Genomic DNA, 20,707 nt, shown 5'->3' on the forward strand with positions numbered 1-20,707 from the left:
CCCCATGGGCAGCTATTACACCGTTTTCCAGCCGAGGGCATGAGTATGCAGAGAACTGAAGTAACTTGCCTGATAAGCACATGAACTGGGAATGGATTCTGGACTGTCTGGCCTCACCTTTAACTATCTCCTCCCATGATGGCCAGCCAGGTGAAGGAGCCACACTCCCACCCTCAGCTGTGCCCTGCCCACACATTCACCAGGGGACCCTTGCGGATTAGAGGAGATGGGTCTGCGGATGGCAGGGGAGTGCACTGCTTGGAAAACGCTCAGGCCAAAGGGAGGAGGAAGAGGACTGGGGGAGAAGAGGAAGCATAGAGGTGAGAGGAGGAGGGGCAGGGAGCTAGGGACAGGGAGGGAGGGAGAGGGGAATGTGGAGAGGAGGGGAGCGGGGAAAGAAAAGGGGGAGAGGGGAGAGAGAGAAGAGAGAATGGAGAAAGGGGAAGGGGAGGCAGGAGAAAGAGTGAAGAGGGGCCACTCTCTCCCAGGTGCCTGGCAGACCATACTCCAGTCTAGCTGTGCCCGGGAAGGTCTGCCCCACCCCCCTGCCGCAAGAACATCAAAGCTAGGTCCCAGCCAGCCCAAAGGTAGCGTCCTTTGAGGTTTGGCGGTGATGGGGCCATATTTCAGGCTGATATGAAGCAGGCTGTGCCCCACCCCCTCCCACTGGGAGATCCCCATCTGGGCTGTCTACTTAATACCCCATTAAGGGAGAAAATATACAGCCAGAAGCACCCCCGCCCCGCCTTAGCTGCCCGTTCCACGGAAAAGATCAAAGCTGTGCTAGATTCCCGCCTAGAAATTCCATAAATAGAGCACAGATTGGAGGAGAGGCAGGTAGAGCCCAACAGGGTGGTGAGCACAGGGAGGTGGGGAGGCTGGGCTGGATGCAGGAAGGGACTCCTGGACGCATGCTGGGGGTGTTGGGAGACAGCCCTGGGCAGCCAGCCCCACATCCCCCAGCCTTTCCCCGCAGAGCCCTCCCAACTCACTGAGAGGACTCAGCACCTTCCCCTGGGCTTACAAAGCCTGTTGCATGCTGCGTCCGTGCACTGCCGCGCAGAGATCCCCTTGCCTGGTCCTGGGAGGTACAGGGTAGCAAGTCTACGTCTGTTGTGCCAGGCAGGCACTCTGATGAACATCTAACTCTCACAGCAACCCTATGAGGTGGGCAGAATCATGTAATTCCATAGCTGGGGAAACCGAGGCAGAGAGGAGTGAAGTGACCTGCCCAGGGTGGTGAGAAGCTGCAAGTTTTAGCTTCCTGGTGTCCACTCCTCCATACTGAAGTGCTAGACTTATACTGGGGGAGGTCCCCACTTCAGGGGCGCTCTTGGTGGGATGTGAACCAGGTGTCAGTTGTACAGCTAAGGTCGGGCGCTGGGGCCTGTTCCAGGCTGAAGACTGGAGTCCCGTGACCTCCAGCTTAACCTGGCCCCAGTTTCTACCAGGGGCCCCGTACTCTTGGGGGTTTGTCTCTACAGCTTGTGCTCTTTCCAAACCAGGAAATAGGCTCAGAGATGCCCAGGGAATGCACAGCCTGTGGGGTGTTTGAGCACACAGCAGACCCTCTCCCTGGTCGCCCATGGGAGAGAGAAAGCAGGACCTGAACTAAATAACCCCCTGGAGCCCCTCCCCATGCAGTCGTACAGCACTGCAAACACAACCTGAGCAAATGTCAGACCCACGCTCCAGCTCCAGCACTGCCTCCTGGCCCCCAAGGCTGCTGGTAAGAATCAGTTCAAGAGCTGGCCCAATCCCCTAATTCATACTAGGCAGTGATTGACTACTTCCTATTAATGAGGACCAGCTCCCTGCCCCCCTCAGGGCATGGCACTGCCATCCACCTGGGGCCAGAAACATGGGGCCATCCCACCCCTTAACCCCCAGCATCCTTCTTGGTCCTCCTATGACTGCCTCCCAAACACTCCACACTTGCCACTCCATGGGTCTCTCTAAACTGCACATCTGACCAAGTCTCTCCCAGTCCCCAGGGGAGACCAGACCCCTGGCCCTGGACACCTGGCTCACCCCACCAGAACCTGCTGTGTTATCTCCCGAACAGCTGCTAAGTCAACATCTACAGGACAAATGGATGGATGAAGGTGCTGTTCCTGGAAATGCACTGTGCTGTTCCAGGATGGGGGACCACTTTCCCAGCCACCTCCCATTCGTCCTTCCAGACCCTGGCCTCCCCAGACTGCCTTCCCTGGTCTCCACACCCCTGGCCTGACAGTGGCCCCTGGATGGGTGTCATCATCAGTGTGCCACCTGCCTCCCCCGTGGCTGGGAGATCCCTGGACCTCCCACCCCAGATCTGGCCCTCCCCCACCCCATCTCCATCCTCATGCAGGCCTGGCCCTCAGATGCTCTCAAAGCTGGAGGGCAGGAAAAGCCCCTCAGGAGGGAGGCACTGGCAGCCGTGGAGGGCAGGGGTGCTCCTGGGGGCTCGGAGACCTCTGCTCCCTTCATGGTCCAGCAAAGGCTGGCATTGGCTGAGCCTCCTTGCCTCCCCCTCCCCACTGAGCAATCTCCCAGATCTGGTGAGGCTTGGTGAGCCCATCTGAACATGGGAAAAACCTCCTGCCTCTGCGAGGGGGCACCGCAGGCAGCGTGGACTGAGTGGCTGCTGCGGCCTCGCCACCCCCGCCTCAAGCTGAGCGCATGGCTAAGCCGGAGACGGAGCCGCTGTGCGCGCCGCTGCCAGCTCCCCGCCTCGCAGAAAGCCTCCATTTTGCAGGGAGAAATTAATGAAAGGCAGAAGCCTGGGAAATTAGGAGTTGCCACCTGCAATTCTCCTTCCAAGGAAAGTGGCGCGAGGGCTGATGAGGGCTGCAGCCGCCCTGCCAGGCTGGGCCAGCAGCTGAGGACCTCATCTGCCTGCCAGGAGCAGGTGGCAAGCAATGTGGGTGGGGGGTGCTGCTAGGGGACCCCCAGGCTCAGGCAGCCCTGCCCAGGGACTTCTAAACTGGGGAAGCCTCCAGGAGAAACTTCCTTTGCCCTCCATTACCTCTACTTGACAGGCAGGCAGTGGGCCTCCACTGTGCCCGTGGAACCCATGGCTCACAGGGCATCCATGGGCCCACCTCCTCCAGGCTGGTGGGAGAATTAGGGAAACAGCACTAATGGGGCTTCGTCTGAGCCTGGGGCTGTGCTGGGTGCCTTCGCCTCAGGAGCCCCCATGCCACTGGGATGGAGCTGCCGTAGGCATTTTACTGAGCAGGAAATGGAGGCTCAGGAGGGCAACACTTGTTGAAGTCTGAGAGGAGCGTCCAGGTTTGGTGGCTCACACCTGTAATCCCAGCACTTTGGGAGGCCAAGGTGGGCGGATCACCTGAGGTCAGGAGTTCGAGACCAGCCTGGACAACATGGTGAAACTCTGTCTCTACTAAAAATACAAAAATTAGCCAGGCATGGTGGCACGCTCCTGTAATCCCAGCTACTCGGGATGCTGAGGCACGAGAATCGCTTGACCCTGGGGAGCGGAGGTTGCAGTGACCCGAGATCATGCCACTGCACTCCACCCTGGGTGACAGAGCAAGACTCTGTCTTAAAAAAAAAAAAAAAAAAAAAAAAGACTGAGAGGAGGGGCAGCCAGGGCCGGGCACCAACCCGAGCCATCTGGTGGCAATGGTGGGCTCTGACGACAGCATGGGGTTGCCCCTGAGATGCACCAAGGGAGGCAGCAGCAGAGGACGCCGGCTGCAGTAGCTACAACCAGCATTTGACCAGCAGTGCACAGTGGTCAGGTCAGGGCCATTCTCTAAAAGCATCCTCGCCCCGGAATGTGAGGGTGGGACCTTGTCTGGTCACCAAGCAAGCCAAGTTCCTTCATTCCCTGCCTTCCATCTGCACTTAGGCCCAGAGTGGCGGACAGCTGGGAAGGGTGACTTTGGAGCCACTGCTCTGATTCCCCCTGCCCCGCCTACTCTGACTGGAGCTAGACTATTCCTTCCTTTCCAATAGCCCGCTGATCCCTAGCTCCCTCTGATCTCTGCCCTCACGGGATGTAAATTCAGACTAAGGTGTGGATGACTGATACCAGCTTCATCTCTCTCCCGGCCAAGGGCATGTACATTCTGAAGCACTAAACTTGACATCCCAACTGTGATGATGGTGACTCACAGAGGTGAGGAGCTAAGTGAAGCGTCCCCTGGGATGGGACTCTAGAAGCTCTGACCCAGCACAGGCATGGAACACAAGATAATGCAACCATCGCAGCGGAAGACGAGGCCTCCTGTGCCACTCACACCCCTTGGGCTACATGTCTGCAGGTAAGCCCCATGGCTCTCTGAGCCTCGGTCTCTTCACACTCTCCCCTACCCAGCGGTGTGACTCCGGTCAGGTCCCTCAGACTCTCTGAGCTCCAGCTTGGACGGCCAGCTGGACACCGGCCTCCTGTGGTATCCTTCGGAAGACGAACTTCGAGGCACTGCTATCTCCCAGCTCCACAGCCCTGGCCATATGTTATTATAATGGCCTTGGCCAATAGGGGCGCAGGCTATTAGAATGAGTTAAGACCAGATTAATCTGCTTAAAAATATATGCCTGGTTTTTACGCTATGCATTCCCTCCTAACAGCACAGGCTCCTTCCAGGCCATTATCTCGTTTTATCGTTAATTCAATTCCATAAACATGTATTAAGTGTCTATAATGCGTGGAGCCCTGGTCTGGTAGCTGGGGTGGGGAGAGGGGGCTATGGGGGTGACGGAAGCCCTGGCCCCCAAGGTGCCTATAGTGAGGCGGGGGACCCACCTGACCCTCAACCCCTTGGACGTGAAGCAAGTGAGAGAGAGAGCTCGAGGAGGAAAATGTTCACCAGCCTAGAGGTTTGGAGGCGCTTCCTGGAGGGGGCCCACAAACACTAGGGGTGGAGACAGTAACATGTGACTCAGACAGAGGGCTACTAGGTGCCAGGTAGTGTTCTCAGCACTTTACAGACTCACTTAGTCCTCCCTATCCTTGGGGGCAGGCACTAATGTCACCCCCATTTTACAAATGAACAGAGTCTCAAGGAGGTAATGAAGGCCCCAAAGCACCCTAGGTGAAGCCACGAATCCAACCCCAGAGTCTGGGCTTTACCTCTGCACAACGTCCCCAGGGTCTTAGAAGTGTACCCAGGGCCATGGCAGGCACAAGGTATCTGGGAATGAAAGAAGGAACACTGAGCCTCCCCCATGGCCAGAAGTGAGTCTGGTCCCTTCAAGTGAGTCCTTGAGGGATGGCTGGATTTTGGTGAGCAGAGATGAAGTGAGGACAGGGGAGGGAGATCCTCCCAGCTAGGCCAGGAGCAGGACCACAGAGGCAGCTGGCCCTAGGTCTCAATCCTGGCTCCCTGTCGCTGGCCAGGTGATCACATGCTATTACTTAATATCTCTGAGCCTCAGTTTCCATCTCTACAGAAATGGTAGGTGGCACCTGCCTTGCTAGACCCAGGCGTGGGTGAAACGGGCTGGGATTGCACACAGGCCCTGAGGGTAGAGCTTACTGAGAGCAGAGGGGCACTGAACACCCAGGGAACACGCCGGTGCCTGCCGCCTGGTGCAGAGGCCTCACAGGACACCCTGGCGGGGGAGGCTGAGAGAAGCATGGCCGGCCGGCCACAGAGAGGCTGGCCTGGAAGGGGCAGGAGGCGGTGGACCATGCCCACTCTGCAAATGAGGAGACAGATAAGAGCGGAGCCGGCAACCCCTGCGGGACAGTCACTGGGCTTGTTTTCATGTTCTTCCCCAGAGATTTACAGACAGCAAGTGCTCCCCAAGGTCTCCACCAGGGGACAAATGCCAGGAGCCCCCGCCTGCCCTGTCAGCTGGGAGGGGACACTGCTAAGGGAACAGGGTAGGCTAGACAAGCAGGACGGGGGACTACAGAGCCTGTGAACTGCCACATGCCAGGATCCTCAACCTGTCACCCAGACCCCGCCAGGCCCCAGTGCCCTGGGCCTCCCTCCCCAGCTTGGGCCTCCGCGCTCTGGCCTGACCCACCTCCCCAGCCTCCTCCTTTACTGCTCCCCTTCTGCCCACCTCGCCCCCGCTGCCCCAGGCTCCTGAGCTTCCCCCTCCCCACATTCAGGAGTTCCCTACCCATCTACGGCTGCTGCACACCCCAACCGTGCCCGTGGCCCTCCACACCTCTGCCCACACTGTCCCCAATGCCAGCAACGCCCCTGCAACTCCCCACTGCCTAGAAAACCTGTATTCTTCCTTCCAGTCTCAGCTCAGACTTCTTTCCTCTCAAAGTGCCTCTGGACTGCCCTGTCTGGCTTTTCATGTCAGCTGCCAGTCGTCACCTCTCTGAGCCTTGCTGTCCTCGTCTGCAGAATAGGGGTGACACCAGCACCTCACAGTGTTGTGGTGAGGATGAAGTAAGAAAAACACAAACTGCCTGGGAAGCTGCTTCTGTCATCATCGCCATGAGGATGCTCTGAGGTTGTGTCCAAGGCTAACTCCACACTGGCCCTAATCTTACCCCTTCCAGCCCTGTCTCTCCAGTGCCCTGCACAGGGCCTGGTGCCCAGGCACTGCTGAATCAGAGGGCAGAACAGCCAACTGCCCGGAGCGGCCATGAAGTTTTCCCAGAAAAGGTGGACTTTGAAGGATGTGTAGGAGTTTATAAAGGGGCAGATGAGGAGGAAAAAATGAGGAGCAAACTCTAGGCAGAGGGAATTGTTTCTGTTGGACCTTGCAGGCCTTAACTGCCTGCCACACTGAGGAGTTTACATTTCATCCCAGGGGCAGTAGGAAATGGAAAGTGTTTAATTAGGGCAATGACAATCATATGTTGGCACATTCATCTAACACTTGCTAAGGGCCTACTATGTGCCAGGTCCTGGGGATCTAGTGGAAACAAGATGGACAGTCCCTGGGGCTACGGAGCCCATGTCCCACTGGGGGAGACAGACAGTGAGAGACTCTCACAAATAACCCATTGATGCCAGCTCTCTGGGGGGTTGTGCGGGGGGGAGTAAGTGGTGCTAAGAGACTGTCGACAATAACAGGAATCCAGCCAGGGGGGCGCGTGGGCTCAGAGGAAGCAGTGTTTCAGCCAGGCTAGACGAGGAAGGCATGCAGAGAACTTTCCAGGCAGAGCCCTGAGGAGGAAAGGAGTATGGCTCGTGGAAGTGGCAGCCCGCATGGCTGGAATACAGTGGAGAGGACTGGCGTGGCAATGGAGTGCAAGGAGACAGGGCCTGTGGTGGACATGAGCAGGGTGGATTTTAGCCCCCAGGCAATGGGTGGCCAGGCCAGGAGCCTGAGTCTGGAAAGTTGCAAATTCCTGGACAGAGAGTGACAAGCCAGCCCCAACAGGTGGATCTGTGGTTTAAGGAGGCCACTCTGAGAGCCCAGGAGGGCCCCGCAGAGCCTGGGCCGCCCGCCTGCCCGCCCTCTTTTCTCCCCAGCAGAGCAGCGGCAGGCAGATTGATGAGGCGGAGGCTCAATCTGTCTTGAGTTTAGCTCAGCTTCTGGCTGCATCTTGGATGACACTGGCTCATCAATACCCAAGAAAATACGGCCTGGAGGGAGGAACACTTAGGAACCGTATGGCTGGCCCAAGGCTGGCCCGGTGGCATCCAGGGATTGCTCCCCTCAGAAGGTGCACACGAGTGCAGGAATCGGGGGACAGGGGGGTGGCCAGGCTCCCAAACTGCGGCTCACACACAGCCTGCCTCCCCTCAAGGACCTGCACGCCAGCCCTCCCACCTGCGGCAGGCTCTGGGCAGGGGTCCCTGCGGGGCTGGCGACTGGGACCTGCAGTCAGGGAGGCAGAAGGGGGCTGCCTAAGTGCTTCATCTCCTGGCACCAGGCCCAGGCCCAAGGCCTTTCCCAAGGGGACTGGGGGGAAGGGCAGGAGGGGCACTGAATGGTGTGTCATAGAGTAGGTACCCCCTGTGCCTCAGTTTCCTCATAAGAGAAACGAGGACATTTTTGCCTCAGGGTGGTGTGGGGATCAAATCAGCCTCTAGAAGTGATCACCTTTCCTAAAGGACAAAAGGCTGTGAGGATTGGGCCCTCTCTCAGCAGCTGCAAACCAGAGGGGCTGACCTTGGTGCCCTGCAGGGGCCACACCACCATCATACACCCATGTTGTGGACAGGAGCAAGGTGCAGTTGAAGGGTATGGACGGGAATCATGCAGACCCCAGGCCTGGCCCTCCCAGCTGGGAAACCTGCTAGCGGTGCCTCAGTCCCCTCCCCTGCAAAACGGGGATGAAAACATCCCAAGCCCAGGGCTGTAGGGCTGAAAAGAGCAAGAAAAGTGCAATCCCGGGCACCCTGCAGGCACACAGGAGCTGCCGCGTGTCCTCCCAACTCTGATTTCCCCGTCTCTTCCACAGACCCCTGCACCAGAGCCCTGCATAGTCAAGACAGCCCTGTTCTCCTAGGCACATAGGTTACCCAGAAGCTGGGACTTGAAAGGGTCTCCTTCCTAGAAGGGGTAGTGAGACTCTAGGGTTCTGCATTTTAGAAGAACTTAGGGCAACAGTTATGCCAAAGGAATGAATCACAAACGGTAAAACTTCTGCCAAAAGGCAACAGAGAAGGAGGAAGACATGGAGGATGGGGAAGGTTGCTCCTAGGACTTAGAAATCACCTTGCAGAGACAGGAAGTAGTGATAGGGTATGTACTATATGGCCAACATTACACCAGGTGCAGGAGCTACAGAAGAAGGGCACTCTCCAATGCCGAGAAGGTGCCATCATGGATGAGTGAATGAGTAAGCAGCTGTGGGGATTACAGCAGCAAGGACTCTGCCACTGCCCCTCCTGACTGGTCCCCCAGTAGTCAGCGGGCCACCTGCCTGGTACCAGGACAGCCCACACAGACATGGCCCTGCCTTGTCTAGACCAGCAGCTGCTGAGAATGAGATCCCCATGGGTGTAGCTGGTAGAATAAATGGGTTCCCTGGCTGGACTTGACCTTATTGAGGGGGTCTGATGGAGCCAGGCCAGGTGGGGCCCCAGGCCTCAGAGGAATATACAAAAGGAGCTATGGAGGCGGGCCTGGGGGAATGAGGGTTGGGGGAGCTTGGATTCTAGAATCCACACTACCCACAAAACCACTATGGGGATCAAAGCCCAAGGTGATGACCCACGTTCAGAGCCAGCTCTATTATCACCCATTCCCCAGGGTGTGGAGTGGGCTGTGGGGACAGACAGACCTGTTGCCGCCCTGGCCTGGCAATCCCATTGCTGTCAGGTCCCGGTCACCCCCCATCCCTGCTGAGCCTCAGGCTCCCCATCTGCAAGATGTGACTGGTCATCCCTTCATGAAGAGCCAGGAGCTGCAAGTCCCTGGAAGCTCATAGAGTATCTCCCTCCTCTCCCCATTGTCTGAGCCACAGGTGAAAGCATGGGGCCCCAATCTAGTGCCCTGCATGCCCAATGCCCAGGCCTCAAGGCCCACGTCTGCAGAGCCCAGGGGAAAGGTGCCTTGAGGACGAAGCTGGGTCCTGGGGAGCCAGCTCCAGTACTGGGGGTGGCTCACTGTTTCCTGTCCAGGAATGCTCAGGACAACCAGCTTCTTGCAATCTTCCCAGCTCAGGCTCCCCAGCCTGAGTCACACCATCACCATACTGTGGACCCTGGACAAGCCTCCGGACTTTTCTGGGCCTCACCTTCCCCACCTGGGAGTGCAGGTGCTAATGCCCACCTGTGGGCTGTGTCACACCATAGGCCAAGAGCTTCTTCAGTGCCTGGCACTCAGTAGGCCTGCAATAAATGGAGACAGCTGCTAGGATGCAGGCGAACCCCCTGGTGCACAGTAGGGTCTCAACCCAATCCCGCTGACCCCATAGCATGGACAAGGCGAGGTTCTCAAAGGCCTCTGAGAGCCAGAGGTGCCTAGACCTGCCTCGTGCAATACAGCATCCTCTCCACAAGTCAGGAAAGGCCCCTGCAGCTGCGAGCAGAGCCCTGCCCGCTGCACTCTCCCATTACCCTCTCAGCCTTCCTTCACATTGCTTCCTGCCTCACACCACCTCCTCCAGGGGGTGCCTCGATCATCTGCCAGAATGCAACTCACTTTCCTGTGGATACCTCTGGGGTTCTGTTAGGACCCTGGATGTCCCCAAGACACCTGAGGCTCACTGCAGCCTCAACAGAATTCTTTCTTTTTTTTTTTTTTTTTTTTGAGACAGAGTCTCGCTTTGTCGCCCCAGCTGGAGTGCAGGGGCACGATCTTGGCTCACTGCAACCTCCACCTCCTGTGTTCAAGCAGTTCTCCCGCCTCAGCCTCCCGAGTAGCTGGGATTACACAAGTGTGCCACCACGCCCAGCTCACTTTTGTATTTTTAGTAGAGACAGGGTTTCGCCAAGCTGGCCAGGCTGGTCTCAAACTCCTGACTTCAAGTGATCTGCCCGCCTCGGCCTCCCAAAGTGCTGAGGTTAGAGGCGTGAGTCACCGCGCCGGGCCAACAGAATTCCCCGCCTCAGGGAACACCTTTGCCCCGGCTGTTCCCGCTGCCTGGAATGCTCTTTCCCAAGATCTGTGCGTGACTGCCTCCTTCCTGTCCTTCCCTTCTCAGTGCAACGGCAGGTGCTCTGTCTGCTGTGTTCAGAGCTGTGACCTTTGTGCCTACATAGCGCCTGCAACAAGGCAGATACAGGCTCAGCAGGGAGCCCCGTTCCTGAGGCTGGGGCTGCCCTATAGGGGCCCCTTGTGGCCACTCCAGGGCAGAGAGAAGACATCTCCGCTAACCCAAGGACCTGAAGATAAACTTGGAGGTGATGTGGTGCATGTCTGGAACTGGCCAGAATCCGTCTCTTCCGGATGTGTGCTCTGGGGCAGATGCCTAATGCGAATCGCTTCTGTCATCAGGACACCTGGGGGCTTGACACGGACCAGCTGCCGCTGCCGGGGGACAGGCTGCCAGAGCGCCGATGGGCTCTCAGCGAAATTGATGGCCATTGTCAGAAAATGATTTCCCCATGGCCACATCGCAGGCCCTCGGAGGAGCTTGAATCCCAGGCATCGATGCCTCCTGCGGCAGGCGGGCAGGCGGCCAGGCATGTGGGCAGGCAGCCCACACCTGACCCAGCTGCTTCCCAGAGCCGGGGAGCTAGCAATTACCAGGCGGGAAGAGGAACCCGCAGGTCCTGCACCCAGGAGGCCCAAGCCAAGGGCTGAGGGCTAGCAGGGAGCCCGCCTCTCCCAGGGAGAACAGGGGGTCCTGCCCTGCACCCCTCCTGTCTGCTCTGTGCCCACAAGCCCAGTGCTGACTGGCACAGTGCAAGCACCCGGTGGATGTCTGCTGAATGAAGGAAGGAAGAATGAACTCTAGAAACTTCAGAGAGGATTCTGGAGCAGCATCTGGAGAGGGGATTCAACAACAATAAAGAGGGCAGGGGCACGAAAACCTGGGCTCCAGAACCCCTCCCTCCAGCCCCGACCCAGGGAGGAGGGGAGCGGCTGAATGAGGGGAGGTGGCAGAGCGGAAGGCCCTCACAGCCCAGCCTCCTGGCCCAAAGTCTTCAGCTCACACCACAGCAGGATGTTTTTGTTTTAAACTGGCTGTGCCTCCTTTAAAAGTAAGAGGTGGCAGGAAATTGGATCTGATGACACAAAGCCAGTTTTCACACAATTTTTCAGAAACCTGGAATCAAGGAATGGTCTGAGGAGACCCAAGCAGGGAGGGGGCAGACAGGAGGCTGTGGACACCTCTAGAGATTTCCCCAGGGCAGTCCTGACAGGGGAGGTTCTGGAACAGTTCAGTCTGTCAGCAATCACCAGCCACCTAATGGGGGCCTGAAGCAATGAAAAGTGGGAGAAGCCAGTGGGAGCCCCAGGGTGCTCACACACCATGCTGGGGGTGCAGGAGAGGCACCACAGTGGGCTCCATCTGGGGTCCTCATGGCAGGTGGGCTGCAGGTGAGGACAGGCTCAGAGAGGAAGGACTCTCTGAAGGACAGGCAGCTTGAAGCTGGGGTATCCAGGCCAGGCACACAGGGTAAGAGAGGAAAGGAGGGCAGCCCAGGCAGGTGGAATGGGCTGGACATAGGCAGGAAGAGCAACATCCACTCCCTTGCCTATTCACTCAACAAACTTTCACTGGTTCTACCTCTGGGCAAAGTCCTGGGCTGGCCATGGGGCCAACACTGAGTGAGACTTCCTCACTGAAGCTGGTGGCTTCAGGAAGGTGTGGACAGTGCCATGAATGAGGGAAGCCTAGGGGGCCAGAGAGGGGGGCACATAAGACATCTACCATCCTGGGACAGGGCTGGTCAGAGAGGACTACCCAGAGGAGGCATCATTAGAGTGGCAGATGAACCAGAGGTAGCCCCAGGTGGAGGAGACAAGAAAGGCATCCAGGCAGAGGGAACAGCAGGAGTAAAGATATAAAGACAAGGCTGGGCGTGGTGGCTCACGCCTGTAATCCCAGCACTTTGGGAGGCCGAGGTGGGTGGATCACTTGAGGTCAGGAGTTTGAGACCATCCTGGCCAACATGGTGAAATCCCGTCTCTATTAAAAATACAAAAAATTAGCTGGGCGTGGTGGTGCATGCCTGTAATCCAGGTTACTCGTTGTCAGGAGAATCGCTTGAACCCAGGAGGCGGAGGTTGCAGTGAGCTGAGATCGCGCCACTGCACTCCAGTCTGAGTGACAGAACAAGACTCTGTCTCAAAAAAAAAAAAAAAAAAAAAAAGATTTAAAGACAAGAGGCCACATCAAGGCAGGATTTGGACTTTATCCGAGCACCAGGGAGCCCTGGCAGCTTCCAAGGAAGAAGGGACCCAGGCAGGTTTGCAGGCTAGGAAAGTCACCAGGCACAAATGGAATAAAGACTGCAAAGTGCCTGCAGGCTTCCAGGGCCAGAGTGGTGATGAGAAGATGCTCCCAAACGCTGACCCTGTGAAAATGTGACACCCAAAAGAGCACTAGCATGGGAGTCTCTGCTCAGTTCAGTCCCCTGGGCCTTCCCTGCACCCATGCAGCAGGGGCACACCACACATACTCAAGGAGACAGACTGGCCCACAAGTTAATCTGTCAGAGCCTGGAGGGTCAGAGAAGGGCGAGGTGGGCAGAGGCTCCTCCTCCACCTGCCAGGTTCAAGCGATTCGCCTGTCTCAGCCTCCTGAGCAGCTGGGACTACAGGCATGCGCCACCACGCCCGGCTGATTTTTGTATTTTTAGTAGAGACGGGGTTTCACCATGTTGGCCAGGCTGGTCCTGAACTTGACTTCAAGTGATCCGCCTTCCTCGGCCTCCCAAAGTGCTAGGATTACACGCGTGAGCCACTGCGCCCTGCTGGCCCACCTTTTCTTGCTGAAGCCAGGATCCGAACACATCACTTCCCTGCTCAAGGGCCATCGATAGCTCCCACCACCTCCTGGATCACAGTCAAACTCTTTGGCCTCCAGCCCCTCTGAAGCTGACACTGGCAGAACTTTCTGGTCTCATCTCCACCACTTCACTCCAGCCAAGCGTCGCCCTTTCCCCAAGTGCCAGGCGTCTTTTCCCGTCTGTGCCCACTGCTTTTCTCTTCCTGGAATGCCCTTCCTTACCCCTTTGCTGCCAAGTGGACTCTGGCATGGCCGTAAGGCATCTTCAATGGTCCCATGTCCTCAACACTCTTCCCAGACACCCCAAATCCCCCAAAGAGCACTGGCAACACTATCCGTCTGCCTCCCCTGCAGACTGAGCGCTCTGTGTGCTTGGCCACGTCTGACTCACCCCACCTTCCCCGCCCGCCCTCACTCGGCACACCCTCAACATTTGCTGAAATGAATAAATTATCTCATTTAGCCACAGAGCACTCCCAGCTTGAATGTCGGAGGTTCAGCCAAGAGCCCTAGCGTGGAAATCACCACACTGAAGGTGGCAATATTTCACCTCGCCCAGAAATTTACTGCAAGTTCTCAAGTCTCCCTAGAGTGCGTGTTTATGTGTGTGGTGGGGAAGGAGGGGCGGCGCTGGGTGACGGAGCTTCGATTTAAACACAGATGACGGAAAATCTCCTTTTCCTCCCACTATGTCTGGCCCACCAAGCCCACCTAGGCCCTTCCCCAGTGTCACCTCATTACCCACTCACTACCTGGTACATGGGCAAAGAAAAATACCCCCATCTCACCAAGGTGGAAACTGAGGCTCGGAGAGGCCAAGTGACTGGCCCAAGGCAGCACCCTCAGAGGAGGGCTCTGCTCCTGCATTCCCGCTGGGGGCTGGGGGGGAAAGGGGTGTAGACTCAGCCGCAGGACAGCGGGAGGGTGGGGGTTCTGTGGGCCTTTCCCACGGTCCAGCAGTGGGGAGGGTGGAAGAAGGGAGCCGAGGTGGGCACAGGGCGATCCCTCCCTCACAACGCTACAGAGAAAAATGGCAGGCAGCCAGCAGGGCCCAATTAGGTAGCCAGCTTCAAAGGCACCCATGAGCCAGTAAGAGCCAGATCCCACTCGAGCCCAGGCGGGGCACCCTCCTGGCTGCCTGCCGTGCATGCCTGTCCATCCCCTGGCAGCCCCATTGGCCACACTCCCAGAGCCCTATGGGGCAGGCAGGCCCAGGCCCAGACAAGCCCCTGCACAGGGGCGTGTGCCCAGGGCAGCCTGGGCCTTGACCCCACAAGCACCCCCGGCCCGCTTACCTGCCAGAGGCCCTGGCCATGGCCACAGGCCCCAACGGGGCACCACAGGCCCCGCCCTGCTCGCCAGGTATGATTTGCATATGCTAATTAGCCGCACATCTCTTGCTCCCCTTGGAGCCAGCTTGTTTGGGGAACGGCTGGATCTGGCTATACCTGTACCATGCTGATGTCACGCCGAGCTATTTCCAGCCCAGTTGCCATGGAAACCACAAGGCCTCAGCTCCAGTTAGGAGTTCAATATATAATTTACTTACTTCCCCATCCCCCCAGCCCCACCCCAAAAAGACTAGGGCGTACAGGGAACAATTGGCTAAAATATACAATAACACCCTCCACTTCCCTCGCGGCCTGTGAGAGGAGAGGGGAGGAGGAGGAGGGAGGAGTGCGGCGCAGCGGAACGGTAAATTCATTTTGGAAGAAGGGGGGATGGCAGGGAGGAGAGAAGAGCTTTCCTCATTAAGACGAAGAACAGAGGCTGGCACTCAGGGATGATTCCAGGGAGCAGGCCCGGGCCAGGCAGGAGTCAGGATGCCGCCCTCTGCCCAGTGAGCCCTAGCACTGCCCAGCCAAGCCTTCATCAGGGACCACGAGTGAGGGATGACTCCAGGCCCCCAGCCACCAGGCTGCAGGTGACCTGGGGTTTCTGTGGAAGCCCAGGGCTTATGAGGGCACTGCTGTCTCAGCTGCCACTGCTCTGGTACTTCCAGACACAGGGATGCCATCAAGGCCTGCTGTTCATAAGCAGGTCCCAGTATGGGGGTGGGGGGCACTGGCCACCTCCATGCCTGGGTGTGTGGGGTGCTCCTGATTGACCCTGTGGCCAGCTGAGGCCTGGGGCCATGAAATCAGCCAGCAGAGGCACCTGCCCAATGGAGCTTAGGGCCCTGGCACTGCCCTGACCTGAGATCACTCCAGCTGTGTTCTAAAGGCATTCTCTGACACCTGCTCTGTGCCACACCTTGTAAGGGGTACTAGGGGGGCATGAGAGGACTCAGACACAGCCCCACATGCAGGGAACATTCAGGCTGGCCGTGGGAGGGCAGAGATGGTGCTATGGGGACACTAAGGAGGTATGTGACCGTCACACGTAAAGTCTAGGAAGACTTCCTGGAGGAGGTGCTGGCCAGAGCTAAGGCTTGAAGGGTGAAGACTTGGCTGGGGGCTGTGGGAGGACATTCCAAGCAGCACATACAGCATGGGGAAGAGTACTCCTCTGGCCCTGCCCTTCCACTCCACAGGCATGGGGATCTGGGGGCCAGGCCACCTGCTGCTGCTCTAAACTCCCCAAGTGCTCCAAGCAACCCCGGCTCCACTCCTGCCTGGGCAGCCATGGAAAGCCATGGGGGCTCTCATCGTGTGTGTTGGGGAGACAGGGGACCTCATCCCAGGCTTCTCTCCCCAGACCTCCCCTGCCTCCTGAGCCTGGCCAGCAGGGCTCTGGGCAAGCCATTTCCCTTTCAGACCTTCAATTCCCTCCCAGTAAAATAGGACATTATTTGAGCCCACAGAATCAAATGAGGAAGCAAGTAGTCAACGGGCAGGGTTTTCACTTCTACCAGCGCTGGAACTTTGCAACCATGATTCCTAACCCCCGATGAGTATCAGGATCCCCATTTCCCAGATGGAGGAACTGAGGACAAATGAACAACTAAACAAAGTGTCAGGGCTGACTCTGAGCCCTTCTTCACACCCTGCAGCGGCCTGGATGAACTCCACGGTGGACAGGCGAGGAGGCCGGGGAAGCCAGCTAGGAGTCCTGGGTTTCCCACCCCGGAGCAGGGCTGTGCCGCAGCTGTGTCACTGGATCCCCTTACCCCCACCTGCAGGGTGTTTCCCAGGAAGTCTCCTTCTCCCTCCCACCCCAGCACCTGGTCTCTCCCAGCCCTGAGCCCCCAGATCCTGCCCCACTGCTCTACTCCAGGCTCTACCCCAAGGCTCTGCTCTGCTGTTTTCCATCTTCCCTCCATTCCCACCACTGCCATCTCGGTTCAGGAGTAAGATGAAGAAGCACAGCGAGCTCCTACTTTCACTTTTGAGACTGGCCCCCCTGACCTCTCCGCCTTCTCCACTTCCATTCTCACCCCTGCTCACTCTGCTCCAGTCACCCGCCTTCTGGCTGTTTCTCAAACTTACCAGCCTCCTTTGGGCCTCTGGACTCTTGCAAGTTCTGTTCTGCCCACCTAAAATGCCCTTCCCAGAGAGCCATGGAATGCAGCAATGAGAGCAGGCAGGATGGAGCCGTACAGCCTGGGTCTGATGCATTGCCACTTAGCAGCTGTGGACCTTAGGCACCACCAGTGAAATGGGCACGATGACCCTCATGGCCTTGTTGTGTGGGTTCACGCACAGGGGCTGGACACCAGCTCCTTCCCTCCTTCAGGTCTCTGACTCAATGTGCCCTTCCTCCACCTCAATCCCCACTGCCAGCCCTTCCTCCAACAGCCGTCCCAGCCCCCGGCCTGCACTGTGGATTTATTTGTCCATCAAGTGAACATCCCTCTCCCCTAGCACTTCATCTCCAGGAGAATAGAACAAAGTCAGTTGCATTCCTGCTGTATCTCCGGGCTGTGTACACAGCAGGTGCTCAACACGTGTGAGGGGACTGATGTGGGGATGAATGCACCTGGCAGTGCATAAATGAACAAAAGACACGTGACCCACAGGCCTCCCTGGAGCTCCAGAGCCATCCCAAGCCGGGAATCCCCATTTATCAGCCAAATGGCTACATCCGCAACTTTGCCAGGGGTGGCAGAGGGGACTCAGGTACTGCGAATACCTGGCTGGCAGGAAATGCCTCTCATGAGGGACCCACCAGAGGTGGGGGCCCCCAGATCAGCAACCAGCGCCAGGCACACTCACAGCTGTGTTTGTCCACAGTCATGGCCATTCCCACTCCACCACCGCCCAGTAATGTACACACAGTCTCCCAGGAAACTGCAAAAAATGAGTTAATATAACATTATGGCTGAGAATTTAAATACACAGGAGTCAGGCAACGCAGACTTACAGTTCCCCAAGCAACTGTAAAAGCCGCGCGCAAGCAATTCAGGAGCAAGGGCTGGGAGAAGATTTAAGGCCTTCTTGGCCAGAGGTAGACCTGGGGGCTGCCATACCCTGACCTCTCAGTGACGGACAGAGGCTCCAGACAGGCGGCACTTCAGGGCATGAGGGAACGCCTGGCACCAGGGATGGGCAACGCAGGCCATGTGGCTCACTGGACACGGCCCCTCTGGGGAACACAAGGGTGGCTCCAGCAGGGACTGGAAGGAAGAAGCCTGTCCCATGGCCAGCTCTGTGAGCTAGGCCCCAGCTCCACTCACATGCCCACCTCCCGGCTCCTCTGGCCAGGTCACCCTAAGGGCCCAGGACCCCATATGCAGCTCTACACCCCTGTCCACTCTTCTGCAAAGGCATGGCCCATGGGGAAGCTTTCCAGGGCTCTTGTCCTCTCTTCAACAAAATGGACTCCTTTTTACAATTACCATTATAATTCCCTGCTGTGTTCACACCCCAACTCCACGCTCAGGAGCCTTGCAACCTATAACTAGCAAATCGCTGGTTTGCTGGGTGCTTAGCTTCTTCATGTAAAACAGGGGGACCAGGCTGGGCGCGGTGACTCACACCTGTAATCCTAGCACTTTGGAAGGCGGAGGTGGGCCGATCACCTGAGGTCAAGAGTTTGAGTCCAGCCTGGCCAACATGGTGAAACCCCATCACTTCCAAAAATACAAAAATTAGCTGGTCATGGTGGCAAATGCCTGTAATCCCAGCTACTCGGGAGGCTGAGGCACAAGAATCGCTTGAACCCAGGAGGCGGAGGTTGCAGTGAGCTGAGATCACGCCACTGCACTCCAGCCTGGGTGACAGAGCGAGACTCCATCTTAAAAAAAAAAAAAGATAATAAAAATTAAAAAGTAGGGAGACTAACACCTACCTCACAGGCCTGGGACAATGAGATGAATTCACACATGTAAAATATTTGGAACAAGGCCCAGCACTCAGCAATTGCTCAATAAATATGAGCAGGTATTACGGCTGCTGTTATTAATATTGCTATTGTTCTTGTTTTTCCTTTCTCATTCAAAAAGAATCTGAGGAAACACAAAACAGGCAGTGGCACTTAAGGGAGGCAGAGAATAAAGAGTTCATTCATTCGTTCACTCGGTAAAGATTTACTGAAGGCTTGCTGTGCAGGCCTGGAGGGGCAGCTGTGAACACTCAGAAGATGTATAAGAGGACCCTGGGGAGTGAGCCCAGCATGCACCATAAGGGCCTTTCAGAGGCTGGCTGCCAATCTGGCTCAGGCTTCCCGGCAGCCGTCAGAGAGAGGAGAAGGGGGTCTGCTGGAAGTTGTCAGAGCCACAGACAGGGCCCTTCCTCGAGATCACACGTCAGCAGTGAAGATCCATGGTCTCCCTGGGGAGGAGCTCCCGTGGAGGAGGCAGGGCCTGAACTGGGCTGAGAAAGGTTGGGCAGAGGAGAGGAAGGACGTTCGTTCATTCACTGGCTCAGCATTTGTTAGGCATGGAGTGTGTGGCCAGCAGGAAGGTTCCTAACACATCAGTGCTGAGTGACCAAATGAGTGAGTGAGTGAGCAAGCGCCTGAGTGAGTGAGCACCTGAGGGAATGAATGAGTGTCTGAGGGAATGAATAAGTGTCTGAGTGAATGAATGAGTGCCCGAGGGAATGAATGAGTGTCTGAGTGAATGAATGAGTGCCTGAGTAAATGAATGAGTGCCTGAGTAAATGAATGTGCCTCCTGGCAGTGGGGAGGCTCGCCATCCCCAGGCTCAGATCTGGATCACTCACCTGGCTGTTTTCATTTTCTGGTTTTTTTTTTGTTTGTTTTTCGTTTTTTTTGAGATGGAGTTTCACTCTCGTTGCCCAGGCTGGAGTGCAATGGTGCGATCTCAGCTCACTGCAACCTCTGCCTCCCAGGTTCAAGTGATTCTCCTGCCTCAGCCTCCCGAGTAGCTTGGGTTATAGGCACCTGCCACCACGACTGGCTGATTTTGTATTTTTAGTAGAAACGGGGTTTCTCCATGTTGGTCAGGCTGGTCTCAAACTCCCAACCTCAGGTGGCCCACCTCAGCCTCCCAAAGTGTTGAGATTACAGGCGTGAGCCACCACGCCCAGCCCACCTGGCTGTTTTCTTTGGCCTCTTGTTCAGAGGCCAAAGCCCCCACTGGATAACCCACTCCAGAACCCAAGCCCGGAAGGGTCTGAGCCTCGTGGAAGGGTGGGTGGGATGGCAGGGTGGCAGTGGCAGCCAGGGGCAGCCAGGGCCAGCATGGAGGGGCCATTCAGACAGCAGCGACTGGATTCTGAGGACATTGCAGCAGGAATGCCCTCAGAGGTCATTAGCATCACAGGGAAGGGGGCACCTGTCAGCTGAGGGAACAGGAGGACGGTGGAAGAGATGGGAGTGCTACTCTCGGTCATCCAGGGGTGGTCTCTAGGAGGAGGTGGCAGCTGACCCGAGCCATGCAGGGCTCCAAAGTGAGAGCTTTCAGGAGGGGATATAGCAAATGCAAAGGCTGGAAGCAGGAAGTGCACATAGGAGGGAGGAGAAGCGGGAAGCAGGCTTGGAGAGCAGGAACCAGACTCTGGCCATGGATAGCTGAATGCACCCACACCTTCTTCCCAGAGGCAGAAATGCAGGAAAAGCCGAGAAGCCTCTGCTTCCTCATCTGTAAAACGGGGATGACAACTGTACCTACTTTCCAAGGCTGTGAGGATTAAATGGGAGAGTGAGCTGTTGCGGTGGTCGCGGTGGTGGTAGTGGTGATGGAGGTTATGGTGGTGGTGGTGGTGGTGGTGATGGAGGTTATGGTGGTGGAGGTGGTGGTGGTGATGGAGGTTATGGTGGTGGTGGTGGTGATGGAGGTTATGGTGGTGGTGGTGATGGTGGTGGTGGAGGTTATGGTGGTGGAGGTGGTGGCGGAGGTTATGGTGGTGGTGGTGGTGATGGAGGTTATGGTGGTGGTGGTGGTGGTGATGGAGGTTATGGTGGTGGTGGTGGTGGTGATGGAGGTTATGGTGGTGGTGGTGGTGGTGGTTATGGTGGTGGTGGTGGTGGTGGTGATAGAGGTTATGGTGATGGTGGTGGTGATGGAGGTTATGGTGGTGG

General features: G+C 57.0%; 1 protein-coding gene across 2 annotated transcripts in view, besides 5 other annotated features; it reads right to left on the bottom strand.

Annotated features, from left to right (window-relative positions):
• TCF20 (transcription factor 20) overlaps window positions 1-20,707 on the bottom strand; it is a 183,525-nt gene that overhangs the window by 143,474 nt on the left and 19,344 nt on the right. The gene's annotated exons all lie outside the window — the stretch shown is intronic.
• Window positions 6,936-7,642: an enhancer, noted in NCBI's record as "H3K4me1 hESC enhancer chr22:42706428-42707134 (GRCh37/hg19 assembly coordinates)". NCBI's record gives its function as "activates a minimal SCP1, AML or CMV promoter by ChIP-STARR-seq in primed H9 embryonic stem cells {active_cell/tissue: H9 hESC(primed)}" and the evidence as "EXISTENCE:reporter gene assay evidence [ECO:0000049][PMID:30033119]".
• Window positions 9,555-10,384: an enhancer, noted in NCBI's record as "H3K27ac-H3K4me1 hESC enhancer chr22:42709047-42709876 (GRCh37/hg19 assembly coordinates)". NCBI's record gives its function as "activates a minimal SCP1, AML or CMV promoter by ChIP-STARR-seq in naive H9 embryonic stem cells {active_cell/tissue: H9 hESC(naive)}" and the evidence as "EXISTENCE:reporter gene assay evidence [ECO:0000049][PMID:30033119]".
• Window positions 11,216-12,045: an enhancer, noted in NCBI's record as "H3K27ac-H3K4me1 hESC enhancer chr22:42710708-42711537 (GRCh37/hg19 assembly coordinates)". NCBI's record gives its function as "activates a minimal SCP1, AML or CMV promoter by ChIP-STARR-seq in naive H9 embryonic stem cells {active_cell/tissue: H9 hESC(naive)}" and the evidence as "EXISTENCE:reporter gene assay evidence [ECO:0000049][PMID:30033119]".
• Window positions 14,787-15,684: an enhancer, noted in NCBI's record as "H3K27ac-H3K4me1 hESC enhancer chr22:42714279-42715176 (GRCh37/hg19 assembly coordinates)". NCBI's record gives its function as "activates a minimal SCP1, AML or CMV promoter by ChIP-STARR-seq in naive H9 embryonic stem cells {active_cell/tissue: H9 hESC(naive)}" and the evidence as "EXISTENCE:reporter gene assay evidence [ECO:0000049][PMID:30033119]".
• Window positions 16,637-17,474: an enhancer, noted in NCBI's record as "H3K27ac-H3K4me1 hESC enhancer chr22:42716129-42716966 (GRCh37/hg19 assembly coordinates)". NCBI's record gives its function as "activates a minimal SCP1, AML or CMV promoter by ChIP-STARR-seq in primed H9 embryonic stem cells {active_cell/tissue: H9 hESC(primed)}" and the evidence as "EXISTENCE:reporter gene assay evidence [ECO:0000049][PMID:30033119]".

This window comes from Homo sapiens, chromosome 22 (genome assembly GCF_000001405.40).
Source record: "Homo sapiens chromosome 22, GRCh38.p14 Primary Assembly".
Classification (NCBI taxonomy): Eukaryota; Metazoa; Chordata; class Mammalia; order Primates; family Hominidae; genus Homo; species Homo sapiens.